At 49.9% G+C, this 15,363-nt stretch overlaps 1 long non-coding RNA gene across 1 annotated transcript, besides 3 other annotated features; it reads left to right on the top strand.

Annotated features, from left to right (window-relative positions):
* Positions 504 to 673: an enhancer, noted in NCBI's record as "experimental_86692/86693 CRE fragment used in MPRA reporter constructs". NCBI's record gives its function as "activates a minimal promoter by MPRAs in K562 erythroleukemia cells, with activity observed for both the introgressed and non-introgressed 5:583198 variant alleles {active_cell/tissue: K562}" and the evidence as "EXISTENCE:reporter gene assay evidence [ECO:0000049][PMID:34662402]".
* Positions 6,598 to 12,627, top strand: LOC105374607 (uncharacterized). Its single transcript, XR_925671.1, has 3 exons — positions 6,598 to 6,703; positions 11,334 to 11,843; positions 11,930 to 12,627. It is a non-coding gene; the product is annotated as an uncharacterized LOC105374607 (long non-coding RNA).
* Positions 12,260 to 12,847: an enhancer, noted in NCBI's record as "H3K4me1 hESC enhancer chr5:570939-571526 (GRCh37/hg19 assembly coordinates)". NCBI's record gives its function as "activates a minimal SCP1, AML or CMV promoter by ChIP-STARR-seq in naive H9 embryonic stem cells {active_cell/tissue: H9 hESC(naive)}" and the evidence as "EXISTENCE:reporter gene assay evidence [ECO:0000049][PMID:30033119]".
* Positions 12,848 to 13,437: an enhancer, noted in NCBI's record as "H3K4me1 hESC enhancer chr5:570349-570938 (GRCh37/hg19 assembly coordinates)". NCBI's record gives its function as "activates a minimal SCP1, AML or CMV promoter by ChIP-STARR-seq in naive H9 embryonic stem cells {active_cell/tissue: H9 hESC(naive)}" and the evidence as "EXISTENCE:reporter gene assay evidence [ECO:0000049][PMID:30033119]".

The raw sequence follows: 15,363 nt of genomic DNA, 5'->3' as shown, positions 1-15,363 counted from the left end.
TGCTGATGTTATAAACTTCTGGCAGCCAGAGTGACCTCCCCAGAATGTACATTTGACCCCTATCTTCTGTTTGCAAGCCTTCATCAGCTTCTACTACCTGCCTGCAGGGAAAGCTCCTGACACATTCCCTGCTTGTTCTACCTCGCACACACTGCCCCAGCCCCCCGCAGCCCTGCCCTCACTCGTGGGAGTTCTCGGATGATGTGCCTCACACTGGAGCGACTCCTCTTCACCCCTCACCATCACGACACGCATGCTGTGTCCGCCAGTCCAGCATCCATTTTCCTTTTCCTGGTGTCAGCACCTCAAATTTCCCTCAGGACTGCCTCTCCCACTCTCCGTCCACAGGTGTCCAAGGGCACCAGGAGTGGGCAACGCGAAGTGGTTGAGTGAGAGCCACAGTCTTGCTGGACCCCTCGGAAAATCTTTATAGCAAGACTGCTGGGTGGGGCGGCCTGAGGACGAAGCGGCACAGGAGAGCAGGGGTAAGAGATGGGCCAGGCAGCTTCGAGATTTTACCACTTCAACACCTGGAGCCTTTGCCGACCCCAAACAGGCGGGCTGCCCGCGGCCAGAGACACCTGTGCCGATGGCAGAGCGATCCCCAGTCACAGGTGCTTCTTGGGTAAAGCTGACATAGGAAACACATACTTTTGTGTCACTGTCAAAAGCATTTGAAGAGGCAAAATAAACACAGAACCGCACAATTAAAAAGGGAGTGCGGGTGAAGGAAAGTCAGCAGGAACGGCAGGGGATGAGATGTGGTGGTGGCCAGCCCTGGCTCTCTGCGGTCAACGTGCAGCCTTGCAGATGGTGGGGAAGTGCAGAAGGTAGTGAGTAGTGAAGCTGCCTGGGCTTCTGGGTTGGGTTGGGGACTTGGAGAACTTTTCTGTCTAGCTAAAGGATTGTAAATGCACTAATCAGCTCTCTGTGTCTAGCTAAAGGTTTGTAAATGCACCAATTAGCACTCTGTAAAATGGACCAATCAGCACTCTGTAAAATGGACCAATCAGTAGGATGTGGGTGGGTCCAAATAAGGGAATAAAAGCTGGCCACCAGCCTAGTCAGTGGCAACCTGTGCTGGTACGAGTCTGTACCTGGGCAGCATTGTTCTTTTGCTCTTTGCAATAAATCTTGCTGGTGCTCACTGTTTGAGTCTGCACTACCTTTATGAGCTGTATCACTCACCGTGAAGGTCTGCAGCTTCACTCCTGAAGCCAACGAGACCACGAATCCACCAGGAAGAATGAGCATCACCTTTAAGAGATGTAACACTCACTGTGAAGGTCTGTGGCTTCGCTCCTGAAGTCAGTGAGACTGCTAACCCACCGGAAAGAAAAAAAAACTCCAGACACGTCTAAACCTCTGAAGGAACAAACTCCGGACACCATCTTTAAGAACTGTAACACTTACTGCAAGGGTCCGCGGCTTCATTCTTGAAGTCAGCGAGACCAAGAACCCGGTGGAAGGAACCAATTCTGAACACAAGGGAACCAGGGGACAGAGGGAGACAGCCTCTCTGCCAGGGCCTGGCTGCATCTGCTGGGCAGAGGGCAAAAGAAAGTTGTGTTGTTTTGTTTTGAGATGGAGTCTGTGTTGCCCAGGCTGGAGTGCAGTGGCACCATTTCAGCTCACTGCAATCTCTGCTTCCCGGGTTCAAGTGATTCTCCCACCTCCGCCTCCCAAGTAGCTAGGATTACAGGTGCCCGCCACCAAGACTAGCTAATTTTTGTATTTTTAGTAGGGATGGGGTTTCACCATGTTGGTCAGGCTGGTCTTGAACTCCTGACCTCAGATGATCCACCCACCTCTGCCTCCCGAAGTGCTGGGATTACAGGCATGAGCCACTGCACCTGATCAGAAAGTTTTAATTATGGAACACTCCTAACGTACACGGAGGCAGAGAGAGTCAGCCGCCCCTCACCACCTTCTAACACACTCACATTTGGCCGTGTTTACTTCACCTATTATCTTGGTGGAGGGACTCGCGTTGGCTTATAGACATCACGCCATTAGACCCCTGGGGAACTCAGCAGAGCAGATGTCTCTAAGGAATAAGGCCTGTTTCCTATGGAGCCCAATACAGTAGGCCCCAAACAAGCACAATTCCCTCGCATCAGCCAATCCCCAGGCCACATCCACTTTTTCCCATCGTCTCAGAAATGCAGACTCCTGGCTGCTTCAAACATCCAGCCGAGGTGTGTGTTGCATTCAGCGTTTGTGGCGGTGCTGGCTCGACATGGATTCAGTGTGTATGGGGATGCTGGCTTGGTGTGCATTGAGTGTTTGTGGGGATACTGGCTTGGCATGCATTCAACCTTTGTGGGGATGCTGGCTCAGTGTGCATTCAGCCTTTGTGGGGATGCTGGCTCAGTGTGCATTCAGCCTTTGTGGGGATGCTGGCTCAATATACATACATTCAGCATTTGTGGGGATGCTGACTCAGTGTCCTTTACTCAGAGAAGTACAAAGAGAAAAGAAAGTAGACCAGCACCTCACTCTTTATAAAACTTCTGCTTATATCTTTAGAAAGTAATCAAGGGTAGGTGGGTGAGACCAGGAGATTCAACCTGGAGAGGCATGAAGAGAAACCGGCAGCACCTGCCCAGCCTCTGGCCAGGTTGGCCCTGCCAAGGTTTTGCTGTTCATTCCTCCTTTCAGAAACAGGTATGCGCGCATCTCTGTATTCATTTTGTTTTCCTTTTGCACCAAGCAGCATTTCCCTTTGTCTGTGGCTCGTTTTCCTCACCAACTGAAAATGGCAGAGGGTTTCGTCCCTGAGTTCCGGCTGCTTGTGCCTCCATCTAGAGCTTCAACAACAAAACGCCAGGTCCAACCAGCAGCTTGAAAATTTACCTCCAATAACAAAGTTACTAATTTACAAAGTGACTTTGGATGTAAACGTGCTGAAAACTTACAACTACTAATGGTGTGTGTGTGTTCACCCTCCTCAAATCCCATGCTTCCCCTCCCACCCATGTCCTCGCTGTGGCCGCAAAGGTCCGGAATCCTCTCGCCTTCTGCTGTGACTTGGGCGGCTCATGTCTACATCCCACAGACAGGCCCTGCCGTGCACAGCTGAAACTTGAACACTGAGGGTTGCCGAACCTGCCACGGAGATGCGTTACTTTGTTCATTCTCTTCCTGTTTTTCTAATTCTGTAGCAACCAGGAACACAAATGAATCTGATCTACATTAGTAAAGATACCCGTGTGAAGGTTTGGAAGTTGAAAATATTAAATACCAGCAGAATTTAAGAATTAAGAGCAAAGAAGGAAACGCCTTGGGCTTGGCATCACATGAATACCCTACCCGGGCAGAGCAAATGTAAAGAGATCTTTAAAACACACACTGGGAGGCAGGATGAAATTCAAAACACGGCAGAGCTTATTGGGGAAGGAAATTCTGCCACCAACTTAAGGATTATGTTAAAAGGATGCTCACACACTGAGTTAACACCTGGGCTCTCATGTGGTGGACCCCTGGCGGGCCCCTGCTGGGATCCTGGGGCTTTGCTGAAGATTCTTATTTGCAAAGTGAAGCCACCTTTGAGCACCTGCTGTGTACCCAGCTCTGCCTTGGGTGTGAGGGAACAACCGGGCTGTGGCCCCGCTGCTGTTAGGGAGCTCCAGACAGGGTCGAGGCCACCTACAAGCAAACGACTCTGCTCAGCCTGGAGGCACAGGGCGCACGGCGCTCCCCGGAACTGAGTGAGGAGTCCTGGGGCAGGGGAGGACTTGGAGGCCACTAGGTCAGATGTCCCTATCATAGCCGGCACAGGGATTACCCTGGAGCTCACGGGAAGCTGGGGCCAAACCCGGACGGGGCAGGTTGAAGCCACATCAAGAAGAGGGCTGTGGAGGGAGCACCCAGAACCACACCCCGAGCCAAGGCCAGGATCACCCCCGAGCCAAGGCCAGCATCTGAGGCAGCCCACACCAGGGCTGTCTCAGATGCTGCCACAGCCACCCCGAGGACCCTGGATCTTTACAGAGAGGCCACAGGTGGAGATCAGCCAGGCTTTCTCCACCCTGAGAGCTCAACACAGCTGCCTACCTATACTGCTATGAGCCTCCTTAAGGAACCTGTGCTGCTATGAGCCTCAAGTCCTTTGAGAAACAAGACAGTGACGGGGAAATAAAAATGTAAGTGGTGGCGTTTGTGTGTGTGGAGTCAGCACACTGTGGCATCCCCGCATAGCTCAGCCTCCATCTGGCTGTGCGGCTCTGGCCAGGTCACATGACCTCTCGGTGCCTCGGCGTCCTTATGTGAGGGTGGTGGCCACAGTCCTGATGTGCCAGGCTGAGCCGTGATGAGCTACAACGCTGCCTGGCACCATGAGCTGTTCTTCTCAAAGGACTGGTTTTTAAAAATCAAGGTCCCCTGACACTCCCCATCCTGGACTCAGCCCTTCTCTGCTCACCCTCACCCCAGCTTCATCTCAGACCTGCTGGGATCGGATTTGGGATTGCGTGGAAAATGTAATTGAATCTGGGCAGAACTTGACATCATAACCGTAATGAATGTTTTTATCCGTGAAGGCTGTCTCTCCATTTATTCAGCTCTTTAATTTCTTTCAGCGACATTTTATAGATAATGTCGTTTGCTAAATTCAGTCATAAGTATTTTATGGTTTTGATGGTATTATAAACTGAATAATTTAAATTTTTATTTTCAGATTATTTGCTGCTAGTATATAGATACAGAACTGATTTTTGTTTACTGATCTTATGTTCTGAGACCCTGTGAATCTCACATTCGTTCCAGTAGTTCTGAAGACTCCTTAAAATTTTCCTTGTAAATAATTGCATCATCTGTGATTAGAGATAATTTTACTTTCTCCCCACCAATCTTTCTTCTTTTTTCTCCCTTCCTTTGTTGTCCGGCTACAACCTGGGGTAAGAGGTGTTGTGGAGATGGAGTACACTTCCTTGCCTTCTCCCTGGTCTTAGGGGAGAAGTGCCTGGCATCTTACCATTGTGTATGATGTGGGTGTAGGTTTTACATGATGCCTTAGATTTCCAAGAGCTTCTATCTTACATGGATTTTGAATTTCGTTAGAAGCTCTTTCTGCTCCTATTGATGTTTCATATGGTTACTCCTTTATTCCATCAATATGGTGAGTTACATTGGTTTGGTTTTCAGACACCAAACTCATCTTGCATTCCTGGAAAAACCCTACTTTGTCATGATGTATTATCTTTTTTTATAAGTTTGTGGGTTCAGTTTGCTAGTAATTTGTTTACAGTTTTTTGGATCTATCTTTATGAGGGATGCTGATCTGTAATTTTCATATCTTATAATGTCTTTGCCAGGTTTTGACATCAGAGTTAAGCTGGCCTCATAAAAAAGCTAGGAATGGTTCTCTTCTGTTTCCTTCTCCCAAGTTTTGAAATGTTTTATTAAATATTTGCATTATGTTGTTTCATCGACTATTTGATAAAATTCATCATTGAAATCATCTAGCTCTGGAGTTGTCTTTCTGGAAAAGTTTTCAATAACAAGTTCATTTATTGAATAGATATGGGAATATTCAAGTTTTCTATTCCACTTTGTGTCAATTTTGGTAAGTTTTATTTTCAGAAAAATTTATTACATAAGCTCTCAAATTTATCAGCAGAAAATCATTTGTTATGTTATGATATTTCCTGTTAACATCTGTAGGGTCTGTAATGATGTCATCTCTTTTCTCCTGGCATTGATAATTGATTATTGCAGTTTTCCTTTGATCAGTCTTGTCAGAGTTTTATCAGTTTTATTAACCTTTTCAAAAAACAACTTTTGTCTTTATTGACTTCTCTATTTGTTTTATAATTCATTAGTATCTCATCTTTATAATTTTTTTCCTTCTAGTCCCCTCTTATTTTGGATTTAATTTGCTCACCTTTTTAAAACTTCTTAAAGTGGAATCTTAGATCGTTTCTTTGAAAATCTTTTTTCTAATGTGAGCACTTACAGCTATTATCTCCCCTCTAAACTTATTTTTAGCTCATCTTGAGAGGAGAAGCAGCTGGACTTCCTGGGTCGAGTAGGGACTTGGAGAACTTTTCTGTCTAGCTAGAGGATTGTAAACAAACACCAAATCAGTGCTCTGTGTCTAGCTAAAGGACTGTAAGTGCACCAATCAGCACTCTATAAAAATGCACCAATCAGCACTCTGTATCTAGCTAAAGGGTTGTAAATGCACCAATCAGCACTCTGTAAAAACACACCTGTCAGCCTTGTGTCTAGCTAAAGGACTGTAAATGCACCAATCAGCACTCTGTAAAAATGCACCAATCAGCACTGTGGGTCTAGCTAAAGGATTGTAAATGCACCAATCAACACTCTGTAAAATGGACCAATCAGCGCTCTGTAAAATGGACCAATCAGCGCTCTATAACATGGACCAATTAGCAGGATGTGGGCAGGGACAAACAAGGGAATAAAAGCTGGCCACCCCAGCCAGCAGCAACAACTCATTCGGGTCCCCTTCCACACTGTGGAAGCTTTGTTCTTTCACTCTTCACAATAAGTCTTGGTGCTGCTCACTCATTGGGTCCGCACCACCTTTAAGAGCTGTAACACTCACTGCAGAGGTCCGCAGCTTCATTATTGAAGTCAGCGAGACCATGAAGCCACCGGAAGGAAGAAACTCCAGACACATCTGAAGGAACAAATTCTGAACAAACCATCTTTAAGAGCGGTAACACTCACCGCAAAGGTCCGCAGCTTCATTCTTGAAGTCAGTGAGACAAAGACCCCACTGGAAGGAACCAACTCCAGACACAATCTTACAGATTTTTATATGTTTTGTGCTCACTATCATTTGTTTGAAATATTTTCAAATTTCTCCTGTGGTTCTTTTGACCCATAGGTTATTTAGATGTTTTCTTTAATTTGCAAATATTTGTGTTTTTCCCCAGATGTATGATTATTATTGATTTCTCTTTTAACTCCATTGTGATCAGAGAATGTCATCTCTGTGATTTCAATTATTGGAAACATTTGAGATTTATCTTATGACCCATTGTATGGTCTGTGGTGCTTTCCAGTTCCAGAATTTCCTTTTGGTTTGGGAAACCTGCCTGAGACAGGTCCCAATCAACTAGAGGTTTATTTAGCAAGGTTGAGGACATGCCCAGGAAAAAGAAACACGAGTCCCTCTGGGGTCTGTGTCCTGCGATGTTTATGAAGAGAGTTTGGGGAATTTCAGTATTGAAAGGGAAAGAGCAGACAGGACAGAAAGAAAAAAAGAGGGGGGTGGGTAGTGAGGCACATGGCTGTGTTCTGTGAGACTCTGATCAGTGCCCAGTGAGTCTGAGTTTTATGTGAGATAAAGAGAGCACAGGAAATCACCGCTGTCTCTCTGGGAACTAAAGGACAGTGGTTTCCATGAGAATCCACTCCCAAGCTTTACTTTCCCTTGAGCACCATGAGCTTCAGGTCCTGAGATTTTATTTTCCTCTCATGGGTTCTTTTAAAAGATGACTGCCATCTCTCTATTGAGATTCTCTGTTCATTCATTGTGACTATATTTTCCTTTAATTCCCTGAACATATTAAAGAGTCTGTCTTCTAATTTTATCATCTTTCATTATCTTGAGGCACACTTCTGTTGACTGCTGTTTCTTTCAGATGTAGGTCACATTTTCCTGTTTCTTTTCATGTTTGGATGCTTTTTTGTCAGCCACAGTATATGACTGTTGTTGTCAATACGACACAGAGACTCTGGCTTACATTTTCTGTGCTGGAAGATGTCACTCTCGCCCTTGCAGGCCACGTGCCTGTGCACTGTGACCACGTCCCACCTTCCCTTGTGGCAGTAGCTGCTGCCTCTCTGCAGGGACCCTCAACATCTCCCCCAGGGTGCTCAGTCCAGGACAGGATTGAGATGCAATTTACACACAATGCTGAGGGCCCTGTCATCTGTGGCTCCCTCCTTTTGGGGTTCCACCCTCCCTCCTTTTGGGGTTCTAACCTTCCTTCTCTGGCCTCCTATGTGTCCAGCCAGAGAGACTGCAGTGCTCTGCTGACAACACCCCCAGCTAGGTGACCAGGGCACACCCTCAGGTGTGAGCTGTGCGTGAAGCTCACCCATTGCAGTTCCTGCTTTCAAAGGCTACCACACTGAGTCTCTGCCATCTCTGTTTGCTCTCCATTCACTTCCAGTAGTGTTTTATAGTTTTTCCAGAGCTTATAATTATTGTTCACAGGAGGGTTGTTCTGATACAAGCCATCTTGCTGTTTCTAGGGGAAAACTCCCCATGCTGTTTTCCTGTGGCCCAAGTGTTCTTCATAAAATAACCAATGGCTGTTTATGTTTGCTGATCGCCTTGCTGGGTTTTCTCTGCATGTCTTTGCTCCTTTTGTTCCATGCCTTCCTCCTGGGGTCTCTTTCCTTGGTGAAGGGCATGTCTCGTACTTATTTCAGGGATGGTCTGTGAGTTTTGTGTCTCCTTTTTGGTCTGTATGTGTCCCAAGTGCCTTTATTTTACTGCACGCTGGAATGACGCTTTCACTGACAGTCCGGTGTTGGCGTCACCTGCCCTCCGCACTGACCGTCCGGTGTTGGCGTCACCTGCCCTCCGCACTGACCGTCCGGTGTTGGCGTCACCTGCCCTCTGCACTGACAGTCCGGTGTTGGTGTCACCTGCCCTTCACACGTGGAGGCTGCTGTTGCATTGCTTCCTGACCTCTGTTGCTGTGGGTGAGAAGTTGGCTGTCAGTCTGATCACCACGCAGACCCCAGGGTCTCCTTTTTTCAATGTTATTAGGCAAAAGCCAGGCCTCTTAAGGGGATACCCTACCTGTTCCTAAGACCAAAAATACACTATTTAGAATGCAGTTGGCCTAATATTTCTGGTTACTATTTTCCAGTCTAATCGGAATAACTGCTCATCTTGAAGGGATAAATAAAGGCCACTTAAGGCTGAATTAGTATCTTACTCCTTTTAGGTGAAACAACATTATGGGAAGGGGAAATTTTTTTTACGTGGCTGAGGAGAATAAATGCATCTTGGAGGAATGGAAGTCATCAATAGATTGTACAAAATCTACTCCTAAGTACACACCCATCAGCAATGAGTTCAAATTGGCTGGGGGCTGGGGAGGTGGGAGGAGGTGAATGCTGAGGCAGGGGGTGGGGGGCATGAAATGTTCTAAAATGCACTGTGGTGACAGATGCACACACCAGGAATATACTAGGAGCAAAACAAAAGAAAGAAAAAGAAGTCCTTGACGAGGAACAGGGGTCACCTTTATAGACCCTCCATAAAGCCCCGCGTGGGGGAGCTCTCTTGGAGGACGGTGCCCTCTGATGAAAGTGGAGCCCGGACTCATGAAGGATCTCAGCACTCAGGGTCAAACACCGCCGGGCTGCATGTGGCTCCACGCCAGCCCCCTCTGCTCCCTTCCCACCTGGGTAGACCCCGGGAGGTGGGGAGGGGCCTCTGGCCTCTCAGATCCTGGCCAGGATCTGGGCGTTTCAATAGCATCGTAAACACCATCTCACCAGCAGCAGCAGGGGCCCCGCCTGTCGCTGGACGATTTCCATGCCAGGCGCCAGGATTAGAAGCTGCAGGAGAAACTAGGGAGGCTCCTGCTCTGGAGGATGCACAGGGTCCGGGAGGGAGAACGGCCCCCCAGCCGCTGGCCGGCTCTGCAGCTCAGGGTCCTGCTGGGCACCCAGGCCCGGCTCTCCCTGGGGCTCTCAGGCCCAGCTTTAAAAAGTCACGTTGCACTTGTTTGTTGTTGTTGTTGTTGTTGTTTTGGGTTTTTTGTTTGTTCGTTTTTTAACGTGTAACAACGCACGCATGTAATAGAAAGGAGACATGAATGGGTCTCCTGGCCACACAGCTCCCTCCCAGAACAGTCGGCCCTGGGGTCGCCACGGGCCCTTCCAGAGCTGTCAGGAGTACACACGATTTCTCTTTGTTTTATACAAACAGAACAAACCCTGTCTCCCACCATGTCTTCTCAACTAACTTGAAATGATGCCTTGGTCATATCCCAAAGTCTTGGTGTTTTGGGGTCTTCCTCTAGACATTCATTCCCCTCTGCAGCCTGAACCAAGGAGGCACTTGTTTCCGTAACGGGCCTGAATGTGACAAGGCGGACCCCCACAGCTGCTTCTCTTCCGGGGCACCCTGCCTATGATCTGTTTAGCCAGAAACTCCTTTGTTTTGCCTATTTAAACATCAAAAAGAGTTGGTATAGTTTAAAAATATTCTTTTGGACCATTTATTGGGACCTTAAATCCACAGAATGAGTCAGCTGTAACTTGATCTTTCTGAAGAAAGTCTTTCTGTCCAGGTATTCTATACCCTTAGATTTGGTCACTTATTTCTGGCCCTCTCAGTCGCATTTTAAAGTTTCCTTCATGTAGATTTGAAGTCTTTAGTCATCCTAGCGATTCCTCACTAGCGTTACGGTGTCAGGGAAGACTAGCCGTGCCGGAGAGGATGGCTCACGCCCGTTCACCCTTCTACCATCTCTGCTGTTGGCATCGTACAAACGTCACATGACAACCCAGCACTGTCACTGAAGTTCCTTTAGCCCAGGGGTGTCCAATCTTTTGGCTTCCCTTGGCCACATTGGAAGAAGAAGAATTGTCTTGGGCCACACATAAAACACACTAACACGATAGCTGATGAGCTAAAAGAAAAAAAAAATCACAAAAAAAATCTCATTATGTTTTAAGGAAAGTTTACAAATGTGTCTTGGGCCGCATTCAAAGCCATCCTGGGCCACATGTGGCCCACAGGTCAAGAGGAGGACAAGCTCGCTTCAGCAAGTCAGTAATTGCCAGTGCTGAATTTGCCGCATAAGGACTCGGCCCTTCCCTGTTCCCAGCCCAAGGTCGTTCTCCTTCAGCTGAACATTTTCCTTTATGATTTCCACACTCGAATTCTGCTGGCAACAAATGCTTTTTATCGTCTGACAATATCTGTATTTACCCTTCATGTTTGAAGGACGTTTTTGTTCTGTATAAAATTCTGGGTTTGTGGATTTGGGTTTTGTTTATTGGTGGTGTCTGGTTTCGTCAGCTTGCAGAAGCCGCCTTTTCGTTTTCAGACCCCATTGTCTCCGGGCCAGTGATCAGCCACACCCTTCCCCTGGGGGCTCCTCACTTCTGGTGGCTTAATTCAATCGGGTGTCTATGTATCCTCAGCTTTCTGGCGGGTTTTTTTTTTTATTGTGAATTTATAGCTTATGTGGCTTGTTTAGGTTGTTGGTGAAAATAGGCTCTTGAGACTTTCTATATTGTAGCTGGAAGCAGAAGTTGTGTGTATTTTTTAATATAAACTTTTAATTTATTTAAGTAATGTATTATTTGAATTTTTTCTTTTACAGAAAGGTGTCAAGAGTAGCACGGGAATATCTCTCTGACCATCTAGGGGTCTGTTGCTGACTCGGTGCCTCCTTGTCCTGCGTACTCCCAGGTCAGGACATCGGCTTGACTGGTGGCCACCTGCTGACCTCAGAGCCCTCGGAGCGAATCCAGCTGTCCAATTGAAACCAAGCATGGTCCTCTGCGGCTTGGCCTCTTTTTCTCCCGAGATGGTTGCGGGGCACTTATTGGGTGAAGACCCTCATTCATTCTGGGGTGTGTCAGGAGTTTCTTCGAGACAGGACCAAGCTATGAGCCTGTGGCAGGAGCATCCGAGGCACAGCTCAGCCTCTCCCGTGCTGCACACCCCTGTGTGCAGGTGCCCTTGCCCGCAGCCGCGGCTCCAGGTCCGCGTGGAGTCAGCTGCTGCTGTCAAGCATTTTCACAGTACAGTTACTGGTCTACTCCAGCACAGTCACGAGGCACCTTGAGAGGCTGCAAAAGACCCCTAAAGTCTTCCGCATCTTTATCATGTAAGGATGGGCTTGTGGGTTCCAGCTTTATTCCAGGGTCTATGATTTGGGACTGTCATTGACACCCATATGTTTGTCTTTTGCAGTCCTCAAGGGATGGGTTCCAGGACCCCCGAGTTTAACCCACCTGCAGGAGCTCAAGTTCCTGATGTAAAATGATGTCGGATTTGCAAGTAACCTGCACACATCCTCCCGGTACTTTAAATCATCCCTGGATTATTCATTGTACCGAATACAATGGAAATGCTATGTAAATAGTTGTTACACTGTGTTGTTATTTTTATTTGTATTTTTTCTATATTGTTATTTTTTATTCTTTTCCAAGTATCTTTGATCCTCGGTTGAATCTGTGGTGCGGAACCTGAAGACGTGGAGGCAGGCCGTATTTATTTCTATACACTCCTATTCGTTTTGCAAATCCTAAATTCACACAGATGCCTCCAAACCGAATCCAAGTCAGAGTTTGTGACAGTTTTCTCTTTTCAAAATCTGAAACTCTGACAGTAAGACCAGCTCCCAAGGCCTCTGACACATTTGCATCGTGGATCAATCCCCTTAGGTGACCATCCCCTTAGGTGACCATCCCCTGCTGGAGATGCCCTTCCCTTCTGGCCTGGGCTCGGCTCCCCTGCTGTGTGGACAGCCCTTGCCGGCAAGGGCTCTGATTCCCCGCAAGGCCACACCAGGCCCCGGCCTCCTGCCCCAGGCTGGGGCTGACTATGCAGGACACCCCACCCCCACCAGCCTTGGGGTCTCCGATGCTAAGGTAGGGGCTTTGCACCTGCAGTGGGCAAGGCCACCTGGGCACAGGTGTGCGGGAGGAAGAGCCTCTCAGGAGCCAGTGGAGGTGAGGCTCAGGAGCCAGAGGAGACGTGGGAACAGCAGGAGGGTCCGGGGCAAAGGACCCAGTGCTGCCTTGAAGCCAGAGGGGGCTTTGTGGAGCACACGCCTGGGTGCAGACCCCACGGGGGCCGCACTGCTAATCTGCAGGTGAGCACACGCCTGGGTGCAGAGCACACGCCTGGGTGCAGACCCCACGGGGGCCGCACTGCTAATCTGCAGGTGAGCACACGCCTGGGTGCAGACCCCACGGGGGCCGCACTGCTGATCTGCAGATGAGCACACACCCGGGAGCAGACCCCACGGGGGCCGCACTGCTGATCTGCAGGTGAGCACATGCCCGGGAGCAGACCCCACGGGGGCCACACTGCTGATCTGCAGGTGAGCACACGCCTGGGTGCGGACCCCACGGGGGCCGCACTGCTGATCTGCAGGTGACCTTATTGGGTGTAATCCCATGGCTCCCCCATCCACACAGAATTCCAAACAAGGACGAAACACCTGATAAGAAACCAATTAAACCCTGTTTCTTCATCAGCTTTTATTTTACATGATAGGTAGAACCTAATCTCATAGAGGGGATGGGCGGGCCGCTTCTGTTCCCAGACCAGGAAAATGGGCAAGGGCTTTGAACTCCCGCTGGGGAGGTCCAGCTCCCAGGAAGGCCCTCTAGCCACACGGAATGCTTATCTGCTGACGGCCTGGAGGCCACAGGCTGCCCAGGACAAGGCTGGGCTGTGGTCAGCAGAGGGAAGGTGCTGGGGTGAGGCAGGAAGAACTGGCACAGCTCTAGGGCTCACCGGGGACCAACGAGGTGGCTCCCTGCAGATACCAGGTCCACGAAGTCGAGAAGAGCCCGGCGGATACACAGCGCCTTGTCGGCGGCACGTGCCCCCAGCATGCAGCCCCAGGGGTCTGGACTCTGTGCCTTCACGTTGCTGGCCTTGCTGGTGGGCACAGCCCATCCCTGCACACTCGTTGGCCGGGGCCCAGGGCCAGAGCCCCCCGTTGCCCGGAACAGCAGCGGGTTTCCAGTGGTCAGCCTGCGGTGGCTACCCGTGCACACCCCCTTCTTTGTGGCCATGTGGATCCTGGTGGCCCTGTCCTCTCTGCTGGGTAAGTGCCTGTGTCGGCTCAGGGTTTCCATGCCTGTTCGGCCTCTAGAAGGGGCGGCTCGGTCAGCAGGGCTTTTCTGGTTTGGTTTCACGGTTCCTTGTGTGTTTTAAATCTTCTTCGAGTAAGCGCTGGTCCTCTTGCGGCAAATGGATCACCGAGGCCATCGCTGGGCCTCCCTCCCCGATGCCCCTGAGAGACCAGACACCCTCAGCTCTCATTCCACACGGCCGGCCAGCGGGGTCTGGAGGAGGGAGGCTATGCCTCAAAACCTGTTGAGCCTTTGAAGGGACTTTGTGGTGAAATGGCCACCTAAGCCCACGCCGTCCAGGCTGCACTGCGCAGGCCCGAGGGAGCCCGTCGGCTGCCATCAGAGAGGGCCCCGGGGCCTGGCCCCACCTGGGTGTGCACAGATGGCCACCAGAGGTTGTGATCCCATGTGGGGGGTGGGTCAGCCGTTGCCTTGCAGCTCTTGGTACATTTGTTTCCATTTTTATTTTGAGTTTGCGGAGATTAATGTCAACCACTCACCATTCTCTAGTCCTAAGAAAGCCGCCCAGTAACTGCAGAGAAAATCATTCATCTCTTGGGGCAAATCAGATTTGGGGCTCAGTATCAACCTTAACAAAGAACTGACCACCCAGCAAGGGCTGCGACTACGATGAAGATAAACAAAGAGGGCATGACAGTTAGAGCTGATTCTGAGGACCTCCTCTTTACAAAAAGAATTCGCCCAGCTGGGATGTCCCTGTGGCACCGGTGTCTGCACTCAGGACTGGTCAGCCTGGGGCCAGGGTGGGAGGAGGAAGGGGTCTGGGGGCTGAGGACCTGGCTCCAGCCCCACCTGGACACTGGGCACCACGTGGCCCTTTCTAAATGTTAGGACCGCTGACCCTCAGGCAGCGGTGGGTCGACTGGGAATGCGGGTCAGTGGGAGGGGCGGGTATGGAAATGGAGGTGGGTGCTTTGCCATTGCAAAGACACCCACAGGTGAGCCTGTGCCATGCCTGAGAGGCCCCAACAGACCAAGGGTCTGTTTGCAAAAGGGCTGCTGACATGATGGAGAGGAGAAACGGGAGAGCAGCAGGCGCAGGAGGCACCAGGAGGGCCAGGGGCGGTAGGGCCAGCTCACGGTGCTGAGGGGGCAGAAGGCCCCCCCGGGGTGAGGGGGGTGCGGGAGCTGCCGCGATGTGTCTGGGCTGTGAATGTGGGGCAAGGGGCCGGGCAGGTGGAGGACAGGACCCCTGGAGGGGCTCAGAGATCTGAGAAGCCAAGTTCAAGGGGGGCTCTGTGCACATTTTGAAGTTGCCAGTAATCGAGGCACGGGTCGATGTGGAGAGCTGCTTTGAGCCAGGAACTGAAACCCTAGAGAGAGGAGGGGATGCCCTGTCACGGGGATGCGGGGGCAGTGTCGCGATGACCCAGGGTTTAGGAAAGAGGAAGGGAGGGTGGCCTGGAAGTGGTGAAAGAGCTTCGGGATAGGGAAAGGGGGAAAGGCTGTGGCTTCCAGGAGGGCTGCAGCCAGAGACAACAGCTTCAGGGCTGGGTGCAGATAGGAGGCCCCAGG

Source organism: Homo sapiens, chromosome 5, assembly GCF_000001405.40.
Source record: "Homo sapiens chromosome 5, GRCh38.p14 Primary Assembly".
Lineage (NCBI taxonomy): Eukaryota > Metazoa > Chordata > Mammalia > Primates > Hominidae > Homo > Homo sapiens.
The sequence above is the reverse complement of the archived record's forward strand: the minus strand, read 5'-3'. Positions and strand labels throughout refer to the sequence as shown.